The 16,698-nt window shown below is 38.7% G+C and overlaps 1 protein-coding gene and 1 long non-coding RNA gene across 4 annotated transcripts in view; one reads left to right on the plus strand and one right to left on the minus strand.

Moving 5' to 3' along the window:
* LOC124903542 (uncharacterized) overlaps positions 1-13,680 on the plus strand; it is a 50,105-nt gene extending 36,425 nt beyond the window's left edge. The window contains exon 2 of the long non-coding RNA XR_007064742.1: positions 13,322-13,680. This is a non-coding gene — a long non-coding RNA (uncharacterized LOC124903542). The remainder of the gene's footprint in view (positions 1-13,321) is intronic.
* BTBD1 (BTB domain containing 1) overlaps positions 1-16,698 on the minus strand; it is a 50,830-nt gene that overhangs the window by 31,743 nt on the left and 2,389 nt on the right. For all 3 annotated transcript variants that reach the window (XR_007064459.1, NM_001011885.2, NM_025238.4), the window contains exons 2-3: positions 8,224-8,380; positions 1,908-2,013 (exon numbers count right to left, since the gene is read on the minus strand). Coding sequence is in view for 2 of the 3 variants with exons in the window: in NM_001011885.2 (NP_001011885.1) it covers positions 1,908-2,013; positions 8,224-8,380 (263 nt within the window). In the remaining variant the exon portion in view is untranslated. The remainder of the gene's footprint in view (positions 1-1,907; positions 2,014-8,223; positions 8,381-16,698) is intronic.

Genomic DNA, 16,698 nt, shown 5'->3' on the forward strand with positions numbered 1-16,698 from the left:
GAGAGAAAGAATAACCAAGAATAACAGGAGTTTTTAGCCCAAGCAATCAGGTTCATGGTGGTGTTGTTAAGGAAGACTGAAAACAGTTGGAAAGGAACAGAAGAGTCCTCACAGACAGCGAGAGGAATCAATGGTTCTCCTTTAGCTGTTCTGTTTCAAATGCCTATAAAATCTCCAAATGAGAATGTCAAGTAGACAGTTGGGTATATGAGTTTGTAGCCCAGAAGACGACAGGGACTGAAGATACGTATTTTGGGTTATCATCATAAAGATAGTATTTAAAGCCACGGGCCTGGATTAGATCTCTCTACTCTCCTACAAGACAAAAGGTACATTGTTAGCCTATCATTAGATGGTCCTCTATCACCTGGCTTTAACCTGCTTTGCACCTCCTTCCTCTTATACACTTCTTCCTGAGGTTCCACTTGCCGCTAATGCCCTCCCCTCTCCACTATCCAAACACAGTAAGTCCTCAACGTATGGGTTCTTGGAAACTGTGACTTCAAATGAAAGTGTCTAACGAAAGCAATTTTACCATGAGCTAACTGATAGAAACAAGAGTTAAGTTCCTATGGCATATTTCTGGTCACAAAAATACCACCAAGCTTCTAAATAAAGACTCAAAGCACTTCTAAATTGAACAGTGAAATAAATGTGAGCTATACATACATTTAAGAAAGATTAATACAGACAAGAAAGAGAATCATTTACCCAATTTTTGGTGAATCAGTGAGTGACAGTGGTCATAGTGGTGGTGGGTTAAATCCAGGAATAAACGTTTACAAAGTGAAAATTTTGAGGAGGACCTCCCACACAACGCAGTTCAAAAGCAAATAACATAGTGGACTTGCCGAGCGCTTTCATACTATGTCATTTATCATCAAACATTTGTATGATTATCATATACTTTACAAATTTTTACTTGATAAATCATTTTCCAATCCACTTATTCCAGTTCAGAGTCTCAGGTGGCCAGAGCTTATCCCAGTGGCTTGGTATAGGCAGGAACCAATCCCACACAGTACATCATTTCATCACAGGGCACACTCACACACACTCTCATTCAGACTGAGGCCATTTCGACACACCAAAGAACCTAAATGCACATCTTTGGGATGTGAGAGGAAACTAGAGTGCCTGGAGAAAACCACGAAGATACAGGAGAACATGTAAACCCTACAGATCGTGGCCCCCGCCAGGCGTCCATTTTTTTCTTATCAACATTATAATGAAACGACATTATTCAAGGACCTACTGTGCTATCCATTCTTTAAGGCTCATATCAGAACCTCCTCTGTCAAAATTTTCCTAACACTACTGCAATTTGAAGTAATCGCACCATTTTCCGGATTTGCATAGTAATTACTTTCTACATATCTAATTTAGAAAAGATAGAAATCACATTTTACCATATGTCCTCTCTTTTTTTTTAATTTTTATTTTAAGTTCAGGGGTACATGTGCAGGTTTGTCACAGAGGTAAACTTGTGTCATCGGGGTTTGCTGTACCGACTATTTCATCACCCAGGTATTAATGCCCTCTCTTCTATTAGCGTTTTAAATCTTAATTTTCAAATATTTGTTCTTTGATTCTCCAATTAGACGTTTCCTTAACAAGACAACTCATCTCTTACTATTTTTTATATTTCCTATGGACCCTAGAATAATGCCATGCATATGATGGGCATTCAATGAATATTTATTTGATTTGAAATCTTTTAACAGGCAATGAGCTAGTTAAGACTTTTAGAAATATTTTCACCAAAACAAAAAAAAGCAAAACTCTTAGAGAGACTTCAATCATTTGGGAAAGCCACTGATTTAAAAATAGCCCCTTCTCCAACAAGGCTGACAAGTAAGGCATTAACTGTACTTAAAATGTAACAATTTACTTCATAGCGAACTTACCTATATCAATATCAGTAAACCCTTCTGCACTTATTGCATCCATTGTGCTTTTGTCTATTGTATCTAGACAAAGACTAGCAAGCTGAGGTTCATCAAATAATCGAGCCTAAACATATAAAGAGATAGTTATTTAACTTTCATAGTTATTTTACCTTCAGACTGTACATATTTGAAATTAATATTGTCAACAGTTATAATTGCTAATTATGTAAAAATATCTACTTAAAATACACGCAATAATGTCTACATATTCTTAAAACTTTTCATTCTACAATCAGAAATGAAAAGCTAAAAATACAAATGCCCTGCTAAGAACAAATTGACATTACCAATACCAATCCTGTTATTTTTATGTGCTTGTGTGTGTGTGTGTGTGTGTGTGTGTGTGTGTGTACAGCCTATATTCTTATACATTACTTATTCTGATCCTTAATGAACCCTTTATGTTAGATAAGGCTTACATTATTATCCCATTTTCAGAGGTTTGGAGAGGTACAGTGACTTGCCTAAGATCATCTAGTTAAGTATGTTGCACAGCTAGTACTTAAATCTTATAGTCTTTTCACTAATTATAATATCAATTGTCAAGCACAACAGTGCAAATATCAGATTTTCTCTTCCATTGCCTGTTTTGATTTTGAGGAGAGAATAGGGTACTAGAATTTTAGAGCATGACAGCTCTGGAAACCTAAGCAAAATTAGGTCTAACAACACAAGAACAAATACATAAAATTCACATGACGGAATATTATACAACAATGAGAATGAACAATCTACAACTACACAAACCAATATAAATGAACCACACAAACCTAATGATGAGCAAAAAAGCCAGAATATATAATGAGCAAGAATATGTACTGTAGAATTCCAGAAGAACTAATTTTGGCTTTAAGATGTTAGAAGTCAAGCTTACAATATGTGCTTTATCAATACATATGTTATAACCCTCCCCCACAAAAAAAAAAAAAACAGTTTATAAGCAGGGGGAGTCCAAGTTAAACTCAAGCAAGATTTTTAAAAAGCTGAAACACTGAAAAAGGAGGTATGATGATAGGCATGCCAATGACCAACCTTTCATTCTGGCCTGGGGTTAGTTCTCTTCACATTTTAGAGGATGGGCAAACACTAAATGCCCAAAGGTATTATGTTGGCTTGGGCAGAAACTTTCTGAGAATACTGCCAATTAGTTAACCATATCATAAATGACACTAATTATTTGGCATGATGATGACTCTTCATTTAATTTTAAAGTAAAATTCATTTTAAAGTATTCAATAATTCAGATACTACTGAACAACTGATAAATATCTAAACAATTATCATGTGTTTTATGGGGGAGAAAAGAAAACATTAAACACACTGGCTTTAAATTTTTTAAATTTAAGTATATTTTAAAAATTATATATATATATATTTTAAGTTTAAAACATTTACATATAACATAAAATATGTATAGAATACTCGAATGTTTGAAAATGCACTTCCTAGATTATACACTGAGCCTGTTTACAATAATTTGCTTTGTCAAATTTTAAATAAATTTTAGCACTAAATAAAAAATTTGTATTAATAAATATTAAATCTATCTCATGCAATTTTCCCTCAAACTATTTTTCATTTGGAATTTCCTTATTTTTTTTTAACTGCACCTTTTTTGTTTAGACACACAAATACTTTGGAATTTCAAATTTATAGAAAAGTTGAAAAGATAGTGCAATGAAAACCCATATACCCTTTATCCAGATTTATCTAAATATTATTTAACATTTTGCCTCATTTATTAATTTTTTTTCCATATATATACACACACACACACACACACACACACATCTATCTGGGAGGAGAGACTAAACTATTTGAGAGTAAGTTGCACACATCATGGCCTTTTACTCTCTTTTTTAGTGACAAGGTCTCACTGTCACCTAGGCTGGAGTGCAGTGGCACAATCTCGGCTTACTGCAACCTCTACCTCCCAGGTTCAAGGGATTCACCTGCCTCAGCCTCCTGAGTAGCTGGGACCACAGGCGCCTGCCACCACACCCACCTAATCTTTGAATTTTTAATAGAGACAGGGTTTCGCCATGTTGGCCAGGCTGGTCTCCAACTCCTGACCTCAAGCGATCCACCTGCCCAAAGTGTTGGGATTACAAGCATGGGCCACCGTGCTTGGTTTTTGTATTTTTTAATAGAGACAAGGTTTCACCATGTTGTGCAGGCTGGTCTCCAACTTCTGGGCTCAAGCAATCCACCCACCTCGGCCTCCCAAAGTGCTGGGATTTTTGGTGTGAGCCATCAGGTTTGAAGGGCTTTTACTCTTAAATTTCCTAAGATTAAGGATATTCTCTTACATAATCATAGTAATTAATTTTGATAAATTTAACATCAATACAATATCTTTACCTAATCCACTGGCTGTATTTCAGTTTTGTCACTTGCCCCAACGTTTTTTAATAACATTTTTCCTTCTACTACGGCATCTAGTCTAGGATCACAGTTATACATTTTCAAGTTATGAAGTAGTACATTTTTATAAAGTGAAATTCTAATATCAACAGATTTTTTTTTTTTTTTTTGAGATGGAGTCTCGCTCTGTCGCCCAGGCTGGAGTGCAGTGGCGTGATCTCGGCTCATTGCAAGCTCTGCCTCCCGGGTTCACACCATTCTACTGCCTCAGCCTCCCGAGTAGCTGGGACTACAGGCGCCCACCACCTCGCCCGGCTAATTTTTTTTTTTTTTTTTTTTTTTTAGTAGAGACGGGGTTTCACTGTGTTAGCCAGGATGGTCTCGATCTCCTGACCCCGTGATCTGCCCACCTTCGCCTTCCAAAGTGCTGGGAGGTGTGAGCCACCACTCCCAGCCTCAAAAGACATTTTAATTGGCCAACTCAACTATATTTTTAGTTGGTGTTCATATAAAAATTGATCTTTCACTCTAGGAAAAACAATTTTCTATAAAAATTATCTTATTCAGGGTAGCAAATGTCTGTCACTCCTTACACAGGCAATATCAAATTTCCTATGGAATCTACTGCTGCTATTTAGGGTAAAATAAATTTTCTCAAAACGGACTTTGACTTTGGCATTCTCTTTGATAACACTTCATAAAAAGTGTTTTTCCCTCTATAAATCATGCTGGTACAGTATACTGGCACTTTGCTTTAGAGAGAAGCTGGCAAAGGCCCTCTTAAGTAAATGAACATGCTCAGTTCAAATGACTCACTTAGCAGGAACAAGAAGTTTCACATGACAATTTATGGGCTAATTCACATGACCCCACCAGTGAAAAATGTAATACTGGAATCTCAGACCAATAAGATACTGAAAAGTTTTTTTTTTCTCATAGTGACACCTGTTAATCCTTGCTACCCAACATGTACTCCAGAAACACTGGTGTCATCTGAATGCCTGTTAGAAATGTACTCTGAGGCCCTATTCTGGTCCTACTGAACCAGTATCTGCATTTTAATTGCCAAAGTTTAGTTTATTGGTTTCTGAATTTATATCTCACCTTTAAAATAAAAGTAGTTAAGTGATCGTCTCTACATGCATTAAAACTCCTTGGACAATAAAGAATCTTATGAATATCAACTTATTTATTAGATTTTAATGACAAATTCAAAAGAGGAAAAAATACGGAGATATCACTTATTAGTTATATGACTTTGGTCAAGTTACTTCACCTCTCTGTGCCTCAATTTCCTTACTTAAAAATGGTGATAATAAGAAAACCTTTACTTTGAAAACCTACACCTCATAAAGTTATTGTGAGGATTAAATGAATTAATGTACACAAAGTGCTGAGAAAGGTGCCTGGCATACAATCAGCTCCCAGTACATTCTGCTATTATCAGTATCACTAAACCTTCACAACTATCGATTTTAGGTGAGACCTTAGTTTTACCCACTGCTGTCTAGTGTAATAAGACGTTAACTTCTGTAAGCTTCCATTTTTCATCTTTAAAAAGAGAATAAGGAGATAATAGGCGAGGCACGGTGGCTCACGCCTATAATCCCACCACTTTGGGAGGCCAAGGCAGGTGGATCACTTGAGGTCAGGAGTTTGAGACCAGCTTGGCCAACATGGGGAAACCCCGTTCCTACCAAAATAAAAAAATTAGCCAGGCGTGGTGGTACGCACTGGTAATCCCAGCTACTCGGGTGGCTGAGGCAGGAGAATCACTTGAACCCAAGAGGTGGAGGTTGCAGTGAGCCGAACTGCACCACTGCACTCCAGGCTGGGCAACAGAGTTAGAATCTGCCTCAAAAAAAAGAGAAAAAAGAAAAAAAGGGACAATAATATTAAACTACATCACAGCATCATAGTGAGGAGTAAGTGCCATAATATATGTAAAGGGGATAGCTTGGGGTCTGGCATACGTGGAGTTCTGTAATTATGTCCAAGAAGAGGTGACATCAGAATGTTCTTTCTTCTGTAACTACAAATACCTCATGAGAGAAGATGTTTTTAAAAGGTACCAAACATTTTTTCTTTTTTTTTTTTTTTTTGAGACAGAGTTTCGCTCTGTCGCCAGGCTGGAAGGCAGTGGTGTGATCTATGCTCACTGCAAACTCTGCCTCCCGGGTTCAAGCGATTCTCCTGCCTCAGCCTCCTGAGTAGCTGGGACTACAGGCACGTGCCATCACGCCCAGCTAATTTTTGTATTTTTAGTAGAGACGGGGTTTCACCATGTTGGCCAGGATGGTCTCGATCTCTTGGCCTCATGATCTGCCCGCCTCGGCCTCCCAAAGTGCTGGGATTACAGGCATGAGCCACCGCGCCCGGCTGGTACCAAACATTTTCTAAATGATAGAATGAACACTGAACTGGAAAACAAGAGCTCTGGGCCATGGCCCTACCTAGCCTATGAGGGTTTGGAAAGGCAGTTAATTACCCCAGGTTTTAATTTTCCCGTTTGTAAAATGAGAGGGTTGAGCTAGGGGCCATCAATAATTATTTCCAGTACTAATGTCAAATGGGATATTTTATCACCTTAGAATTTTAAAAACAATTTTTACACAGGATTACAACACTGTCTAAAAAGAAAAAAACTGTTGATATACAAAGTATAAAGCTCAGATTACACACATATAACAAATGCTAAATACTATATGTTAAGGACTGGTTAAAGGTTCCACAGTTGTGTTCGGTTTGTAAAAATTCATTAGACTATACACTTAGAATACGTGTACTTTCTTTTTTTGAGACAGCGTTTCCCTCTGTCACCCAAGCTGGACTGCAATGGCGCAATCTCGGCTCACTGCAACCTCCACCTCCCAAGCTCAAACTATTCTCCTGCCTCAGCCTCCCAAGTAGCCAGGGTTACAGGCATGTGCCACCATGCTCGGCTAATTTTTTTATTTTTAGTAGAGACTGGGTTTTGCCTTGTTGGCCAGGCTGGTCTCTAACTATTGGCCTCAAGTGATCCGCCCACCTGGCCTCCCAAAGTGCTGGGATTACAGGCTTGAGCCATCTTGCCCAGCCACAATCTATGTAGTTTTCTATATGGATCCTATACTTAGTGAAAACTTAAAAATGTCAGAAAAAGAATATTTCACATAAACCTAAAACTTTAACTCCTCCAGCAGTAGATCAGCAAGTTTCCAGATTACAGGTCCAAAGATCGTTAATTTTAGAACTTTTCAGAACTTGAAATATTCCATCTTTATTCCAGATCCAGCAAAATTTGAGAACAAAGACATTCATAAAATTTCATGCTGTCATACTCTCAATCATAAGTAGAAACAATACTGGATCTCAATCTCAACTCCAATTCTAAATAGTTATCTAACCTTGAGTCACAACACCCCACTTATATGTATAAGGCTTTAGCTTCTTCACCTATATGATTCAGCACCGTATTAACTCTAACATGCTTTTTTTTGTGATGGAGTCTCGCTCTGTCTCCCAGGGTGTCTGCCCCGCCACCCCAATTCAAGCGATTCTTCTGCCTCAGCCTCTTGAGTAGCTGGGATTACAAGCCCGCGCCACCACAGCCGGCTAATTTTTATATTTTTAGTAGAGACGGGGTCATGCTGGCCAGGCTGGTCTTGAACTCCTGACCTCAAGTGATCTACCCGCTTCAGCATTCCAGAGTCTTGGAATTACAGGCGTGAACCACCATCCATGGCCTCTAATACACTTTTCAATTCTAAAATCTTACATATCTGACATGTTTCCCTGATTTGTATTATAAAAATCATTTTATATACTTTAAAATTATAATCTAGAATTCTCCAGGAAATATTAAATGCCCATATATAGTTTACTCAATTTTAAAACTACAATGATACATACCTTAGCTACATTTACTTACCTGAGTAAGTAACATAAAGGCATTATCTGCCCTAAGATGTTTGGTGAGAAATTCTACACAGTGTGCTTCCAAGGCTGGGACTGCGTATTTCTTGGCAGTATAAAGAGTGGTCATAACTGTTTCTGGACCAATTTGAACTTCATCTGAATATAGAAATCTGGAAAACAATTGGCATATTTGCAGAGATGGTCAGTAATGTTTTAGATAAGCAATCCATCACAGTTAAATTTCTGAGGAGTATTTACTTATATTTTTATTTTATGTTTTCATCCATCCATCCACCCACCCACCCACCCACCCAGCCATCCATTCATCTATCCATCCATCCATCCATCCATCCATCGACAGGGTCTTGATCGATTCCAGGCTGGAGTGCATGGCTCACTGCAGCTTCAACCTCTCTGGCTCAAGCCATCCTCCCACCTCAGCTCCCTAAGTAGCTGGCACTACAAGTTTGCACTATCACACCTGGCTAATTTTTTATTTTTTGTAGAGACAGGTTTCACCATATTGCCCAGACTGGTCTTGAACTCCTAGGCTCAAGCTATCCTCCCACCTCAGCCTCAACTGTATCACCCTCATAATGCTCACTTGACATTATGTAGCAAACTCTGTGATGAATACAGGGAATTAAAAGCTAAGTAAGGCACAGTCCCTCATGGCCAAAGAGAGGGGAATGAATAAAACCAGAGAGAAAGCTACCATTTGTTGAGTGTCTGCCGTATGACAAATGCCAATTCATTTAATCCTCTCACATAGAAGGAAGGTGCTATTCCCTGCATTTTAATAAGAAAACCAAGGCTGAGGAAACAGGAGAGCTGTTTACCATAACACACCATTTCAGGGCTTCTGACTGTTTTCAGTGCCATACAGTAAGGCCAAGAGGAAATAGACTGCTTGGGTTTGAGCTTGTTTTGTCACTTGCTAGCCATGTGACTTATTATCAATGCCTGCCTCTCTAAAAAGATGAGAATAAGAGCACCTACTTCATAATGTGGTTGTGAGGATTAACATAAATTAAAACACAAAGCATTTTGAATAACGCCTGACAAAAAAAATTGCCTCAGTAAATATTAGCTATTTATCTGTATGTTGTCTCATATTTTTTATCATTATTTCCCTCTGCATTTTGGAAGATTTCCTTGCCATTATCTTCTGGTGCCTTCCTATTTTTCTCTACAGCAATCACATTTAAATTTCTAAGAATGCTTGCTTCTTTCTTGATCGTTCCTTTTTTCTCCACAGCACCATGTGCTGGTTTTATGAACGCAAAAACTTTCTGAAGTCTCCAAGATGACATTAACCAAAGTTTTAAAAGTTCTCGTCTGTTTCCTTGAGGATCCGCTGTTGTGTTTCTCTTGGTCTCTGTCATTCACGTTCTGCTTTTCCTTATATGTCAGATGATTAAACTCCGTCTCCAACTTCACTATTCTAAGCAGCTGGTCTGTTTTCAAGATAATACTATCTCCAAAACAGAAATGTTGGCTGGGAGCTCTGTGTATGTGGGAGGCTTGCTGACTGGCACCTGGCATTAGAGTGGGAAGCCAGCCCTAGGGCAGGGACCCCTCAAAGCCATTGGAAGAGAGCTTAACCCTGGGGTCCCAAAGCCATACCCAGCAGTCCCAGTTCTTCTCAGGCAGTTTGTTCAATTTATCTCAAAAAGCCTGTCCATTGTCATGGACAGCTGGCTAAGGGGATGGTCTATACACAGGCTTTAAATTAATTTCCATGTTTTAGCACTACCTTCTCATTTCCACCCTCCTTACTTCCAACTGCTAGCCAAGAACTTTGTTGGGGTTCTGCCAGGAAAGGCGCTCCAGCTCCGCTGCGGCTTTGAAAGCTCTGGATTCTGGGCTCCAGATTCATCTACTCTAGTTCATCCATCAATCAGCTTCCAACTTCTCTGTCCCTTTCTACTCTGTTGGCCCTTCCAACCTCTCTTTTTCTCTTCATTGTAATGGACTTACTATTTTTTAAAAATTTCTTAATAGTCATTTTAATTGAGAGAGAGAGAATGCTAACAGCATGCTCAATTCCCTTCTTAAACTAGAAAACTATGAAATTTTTGTTTTAGGCCAGGCACGGTGGCTCATGCCTGTCATCCCAGCTATCTGGGAGGTTGAGGCAGGAGACTCACTTGAATCTGGGAGGTGGAGGCTGCAGGGAGCGGAGATCGCAACACTGCACTCTAGCCCGGCCAACAAAGTGAGACTTAAAAAAATTTTTTTTTAATTAAAAAAAAAAAGAAATTTTTGTTTGAAGGACAAGGTAGCAGTCTAGAAGTCTTTACATGCCTGCCTTGATGTATTTTTGTCAGGTAAAAATTACTAGAGTTGTAAAACAGAGCAGCAATGTGAGGCCTTTATCACCATTTGCCCTTGATTAGATTCACACTTAACAGGACAAGTGCCGCAAACCTATACATGGTTCTATGAGAATCTATAAATGCGGGCTTTGACTTAGGAAGATGTGGAAAAGGTTTGTAGAGAAATTTCTGCTTGAGATTAGATCTAAAGATTAAAAGGACGGTGGGAAGTACACTCCAGGAACAAGAGAGAATCAAGTTTGTAGATTATTTTGTGTGAGATCTCCCATTCAAATTGCTTTTATCAAATTATACTTCAGTAATATACTTTTGCTTTCTATCAAGGAACATTTTTTAAAACAAGTATGTATCTGAAGACACAGACTGAAGACACTTCATTACAGCAATGTCTTCTGTATGAGGGGATCTCATCAGGATTTTTTTAAAAACTCATCTAATTATCAGATTTGTGCATCTCCTAAGCAGTTGCCTTGTTTTTAATCTATAAATAATTACGTCCACCCAGGTTTCTCTTTTTGCACTAGCTGCTCAGATAATTAAAACAAAGTTGGCCGGGCATGGTGGCTCACGCCTGTAATCCCAGCACTTTGGGAGGCAAAGGCAGGTGGATCACCTGAGGTCAGGAGTTCAAGATCAGCCTGCCCAACCTGGTGAAACCCCGACTCTACTAAAAACACAAAAATTAGCCGGCATGGTGGCGGGCGCCTGTAATCCCAGCTACTCAGGAGGCTGAGGCAGGAGAATCACTTGAACCCGGGCAGCAGGGGTTGCAGTTAGCTGAGATCACGCCATTGTACTCCAGCCTGGGCGACAGAGCAAGACTCCGTCTCAAAAACAACAACAACAACAACAACAAAAGTTTATAGCTTATACATTTTGTTTGTTTTTGAGACAGGGTCTCATTGTCACTCCGGGTGGAGAGTGGTGGCACGATCATAGCTCACTGTATCCTGAAATTCCTGGGCTCAGGTGAATCTCCTGCTTCAGCCTCCAGAGTAACTAACACTACAGGCACATGCCACTAGGCTCAGCTCATTTTTTTTTATGCTTTATGTTTTTGTAGAGACAGGTCTTGCTATATTTCCCAGGCTAGTTTCAAACTCCTGGCCTCAAGCAATCCTCCCGCCTCAGCCTCCCCAAGTGCTGGGATTATAGGCCTGAGCCACTGTACCCAGCTTGACAGCATACATTTTTCTATTAGCTTCACCCTTGACTCTAGTTTATTTCTTACCCTTGTGTTTCTTATAAGACATTTTAAGTTCTTTTGGGTGCACTGCAAATTAAAAATAAATACTGGACAATAAACAGTAAGAAAAGGATCTCTGTGTATCTTATATTTTTAATTTATTTCTTAAACAGTACCAGGCACATTATGGGCATGTGTTTAAGTCTCAATAAATACACGTTAATTGACTAGACAATTCAGCACAGGTTTCTATGTAACGTCAAAAGGGAAAATATTTTCATTTCTAATAAAAAAAGTTACTTAAAAATCCAAGAATCCTCTTGATTCATATGTATACATTTCCTTTACATTCTATTTAATTATTAGAGTTTTTATAATATTTAAAAAAAAACTAAGCCAAGGTTTTTAAAATGTAAAGATTAAACATGACATTACCACAATTCTTCGTATTTTAAAGTGATCATTTAAGCTCTCATATACAACCTCTAAGGACGAGAGCACAGAAAAATTATTACATGTCCTCAAATTAGTCCTATTTTCCCCCCAAATTAATAATTTTCAAAAAAAAAAAAAAACAACTTAGGTTATATTTAATCTAACTAAAAATTTAAAGCCGGGCACGGTAGCTCACACCTGTAATCCCAGCACTTTGGGAGGCCGAGGCAGGCGGATCACCTGGGGTCAGGAGTTTGAGACCAGCCTGGCCAATATGGTAAAACCCCATCTCTACTAAAAATACAAAAATTAGCCAGGCGTGGTGGCACACACCTGTAATCCCAGCTATTCGGGAGGCTAAGCCAGGAGAATTGCTTGAACCCAGCAAGCGGAGATTGGGTAAGCCAAGATCGCGCCACTGTACTCCAGCCTGGGCGACAGAGTGAAACTCTATCTCAAAAAATAAAATAAAATAAAATAAAGTAAATTTTAAAAGCCTAAGGTGAATACTTGATTTTATATAAGAATGATCACAAGATATGTGTAAGAAACTTTGTATCACTACTTATCTGTTCATTTTACTCAAAAACATTTATTGAGGGACTATATAGCAGGCACTGTAATAGTGCTAGAGATAAAAATATGGGTAAGATAGCTTTGCCCATAAAAACCTTACACAGTCAGTCATGCATTACTTAAAGATGGAGATACATTCTAAGAAAGGCATTGTTCGGCAATTTCATCATCATGCAAACATCATAGACTGCACTCACATAAATCTCAATGGTATAGCCTACTACGCACCTAAGCTATGTGGTATAGACTATTGCTTCAGGGCTACAAACCAGTACAGGATGTTACTGTACTGAATACTATAGGCAACTTTAAAACAATGGTGAGTATTGTGTATCTAAACATGGAAAATGCACAGTAAAAATACCGTATTATAATCTTATGGGTCCACCATCTTATTTGCAGTCCACTGTTCACCAAAATGCCATTATGCAGCACGCAACTATAGTCTGGTACTGAAATGATTAAAAAGTAATGTCCTAATAACAGAAGTATATATTAGGCACTCATATCTAATAACTAATCTCTAATGATGGCCCCAAGAAATCATACTTTCTTGTGTTCATGTCCTTACATAGATCTGTCCCATGATGAATCTGGGTTGTCCCTGTGTGAGCCCCTTGAACCAACAGATTGTGGCAGAGTGACATTGCACCAGTCTGAGACCTACACCTTAAGGATGCCTGGCAGCTCCTGCTTTTGTGTTCCTCGGAGTCATGAGCCACGAAGTCAAGCTACCCTGCTGGAGAGACCAGCTGAAGAAGCCTCTTGAAGAGGACCTGAGACTTAAGGCTCAGCCATCCCAGACTGTGAGTTAAACCTCCAGATGAGTCCAACCCCACCTGCTATCTGACTACAGCTACATAGACGACAAACCACCTAAGTGATTCCAGTCAACCCACACAACTGTAAAAGATAATAAAAGTTGTTTAAGTCACTACGCATTCCAGTGATTTGTTCCACAGCAACAGATAACCAAAACATGCTGTGAGAGATTAATTAGATGAGCCAGTGTGCAATTTTGCCTGTGGGTGGAATTTTTACAGAGGAAGTAAAGCCTGAAGATTATCTGAAGAGTAGTAATTAAGTGTGGAGCCCTGGCAGAAAGACTGAGGAGTACAAAGGTAAGGAGGCCTTAGAAGCAGGCACTAAAACAAGAAAAAGGCCATTAGTAATTAGGGTTGAAACACTGAGTGGATGGAGAGGAGATGAAGAAAGAGAGATCAAATCACAAAGGTTTCATGTACCTGCTAAAGTGTTTAAACATCCTGTAGGTAAAAAGAAGTCATTAAAAGATTCAGGGGAATTATATGACCATATACCAATATTGGAGAGATCACTGTTAACAGGATGAATGGAGAGAGTTAAGTCTAAACGCAGTAGTTTGGTTGAAGCAATGCAGAAAAAAATGGAGAGGCAGGTAAAATTTTCAGGAATGGTCTAAAATGGACAAGAAATGTGTAGAATGGAGTGAAACGAAACTACAATTTGGAGCTAGGCCCATGAAGTCATTTCCTAGCTGACCTACAGAATCATAAGCAAGAATAAATTATTGCTTTTTGGGGGTTGCTTTATTTATAGCATTAATATGGCAAAAGCTATTGCAGGGGGATAAGAAGTATGCCTGTCTCAAAGGATTTTCCTGAAATTTAAGTGAGATCACAAAGGGGCTTAGGAACAATCTATGGCACACAGTAAAAGTACTCATTAAATGTCAGATATTTTCATTAATAACATGTCCATCTGCATGGGTATAAAACATTACTTCACGATGGTCCAGTTGGAAATGAGGGTCTGGAGCTAAGTAGAGCTTTGGAGACACATGTGGGGGAATGAGTGCGTAAAGCTCTCACTTTGGTTGATGGGAGAAAGGATGAGAGCTGAGGACTGAATACTGAAGAACACTTACCTCGTGCCCCTTCCAGCCATCACGTCATTCTCTGTTCCCCTTTGCAACAAAACTCCTGAGAGGACTGTTTATACTGTCTCCAGCTCCTCACTTCCCATTTTCTGCCTAACCTACTCTAATCAGCTGAAATCACTCTTGGCAGGGTTATCGATAGCTTCCACCTTGTCAAGATTAAAAATCAACTCAAAGTCTTCATTATACCTGACTCTCAATAGCATTGAGCATAACTGACCACTTTCCACTTTCCATAGTTGACATTTCCCACTTCTTCTTTCTTGAAATGTTTTGACTTGACTTTCAGAATATAATGCTCCTTCTTTCTCTTCTAATTCCACTGACAGCTGCTTCTCAGTTTCATTTTATGCTTTTTCTCTGCTACATCTCTACATATTTGAAGATTCCAGAGCTCATCCTTGTACCTCTCTTCACAGTCTACATGCCTTCCTAGGTAATCTCACTTGATCTCTCGATTTAAATACCATTCACTCTTAACTTGCAAATTTATGTTCAGCAAGCTGTTCCCTCACCTCCAAATTCATATTTCTGTCTACTCTATGACACTACTTGGATGTCTTGGAAGTCCTCTTGGTTGTACCTTCAAAAATATATCCAGAATTTGACCATGTCTCATCATGTCCTTTGCTACCTCCCTGGTACAAGGTACAATTCACCATCGCCTCTTGCCTGGACTACTGCAAAAGCCTCTTCATCTATCACCTTGCTGCCTATTTTACTCCAACCACTGCCAGAAAGAGTTTGTTTTTTTAAAATGTAAATCAGATCACAACCTCCTGCCACCACCTCCGCCTCCCCAATCTCATTCAAAACTCTCCAAAGGCTTTCCATCAAATACCAGCTGAAAAAGTCTTCGCTCAGTCTCTAAAGCCCTGCACCATCCTGTCTGGCCTATCTTTTTGACCTCATTTTCTACCACTTCCCTCTACTGTGCTTAAGGCACACTGGTTCACTCTTGTGTTCCTCCAACAGGAGATACTTAGTGCCGAAAACAATGCGTTCCCTTGCTGAGAATGTTCCTTCTCTCATAACTTGATTATTTTTCTTCAAAACATTCATCAGTACTTGACATTGTATCTTTAGTTTCCCTTTACTAGATTATGTGCTTCATGAGGGCAAGGACTTTTTCTTGTTTATTGCTGTGTCCCAAACACCTACAACAGCCATTCGCTGTTTCACAAGCGCCCCAAAAGGGAGGCATATAGTATTTGTCAAACAACTGAAGAACATCATTTAAAGGTCAGGCAGTTCAAAGTGCACAGTTTCTTTAAGGGCTTCAAACTTAAGTTCATGAGCCTGTAAGTAATGTTAACTAATTCAGGATGTTTACAAGTATGCCCAAACTAACCTGCTCTTCCAACTTAGCAAGTACTATCAGGCATCTTTTTGTCACGTATTAGCTAACAACAACATCTACGTTACACAGCCAGCCAAAATTAAATTTAGAAATCAGTCCAGATATCAATTTCAAAATAGAACAATGACCAGAACCTGAAGGATAAATACAATGCTAGGAAAATAAAACACACTGAAAATGTAAAAATGAAAAAAAAGTTTAAAAATGTAAAAAATGTTTTACAATGTGAAAAAAAAAATTGCACTGTCCTACATTTCAAACACTCTAAAATTAACTTACTTTCTATTGATGGGAAAGCACTAATTAGCAGCTTCGGTGAAAATATTAAAATATGTATTTTTCCTCTACATTCTTATCCTAGTAATCTCAATATTTTTTCAAAGTAAAAAATTGCCCCAAAATAGTTTTAGATTTGTGGTTCTTAAATTTAGTTTGTATAAGTATCACTTAGGGAGAGTGTTAAAAATGCTACCAAGGTCTCACCTCCAAATATTACGGTATATAATGAGGATGAGATCTACACATTTCATAAGCACCCCAGAAGATTATAATGCAGACGGCCCACAGATCATTTTGAAAACTACTTCTAGTCTAGAAAATCCAAATGAACTATACCCAATCCTCCTGGTGAACTTTAAACTAAAATGACCTGGATTTTAGCTTTTGAGGTCCCC

The sequence above is a fragment of the Homo sapiens genome, chromosome 15, assembly GCF_000001405.40.
Source record: "Homo sapiens chromosome 15, GRCh38.p14 Primary Assembly".
NCBI classification, from domain to species: Eukaryota; Metazoa; Chordata; class Mammalia; order Primates; family Hominidae; genus Homo; species Homo sapiens.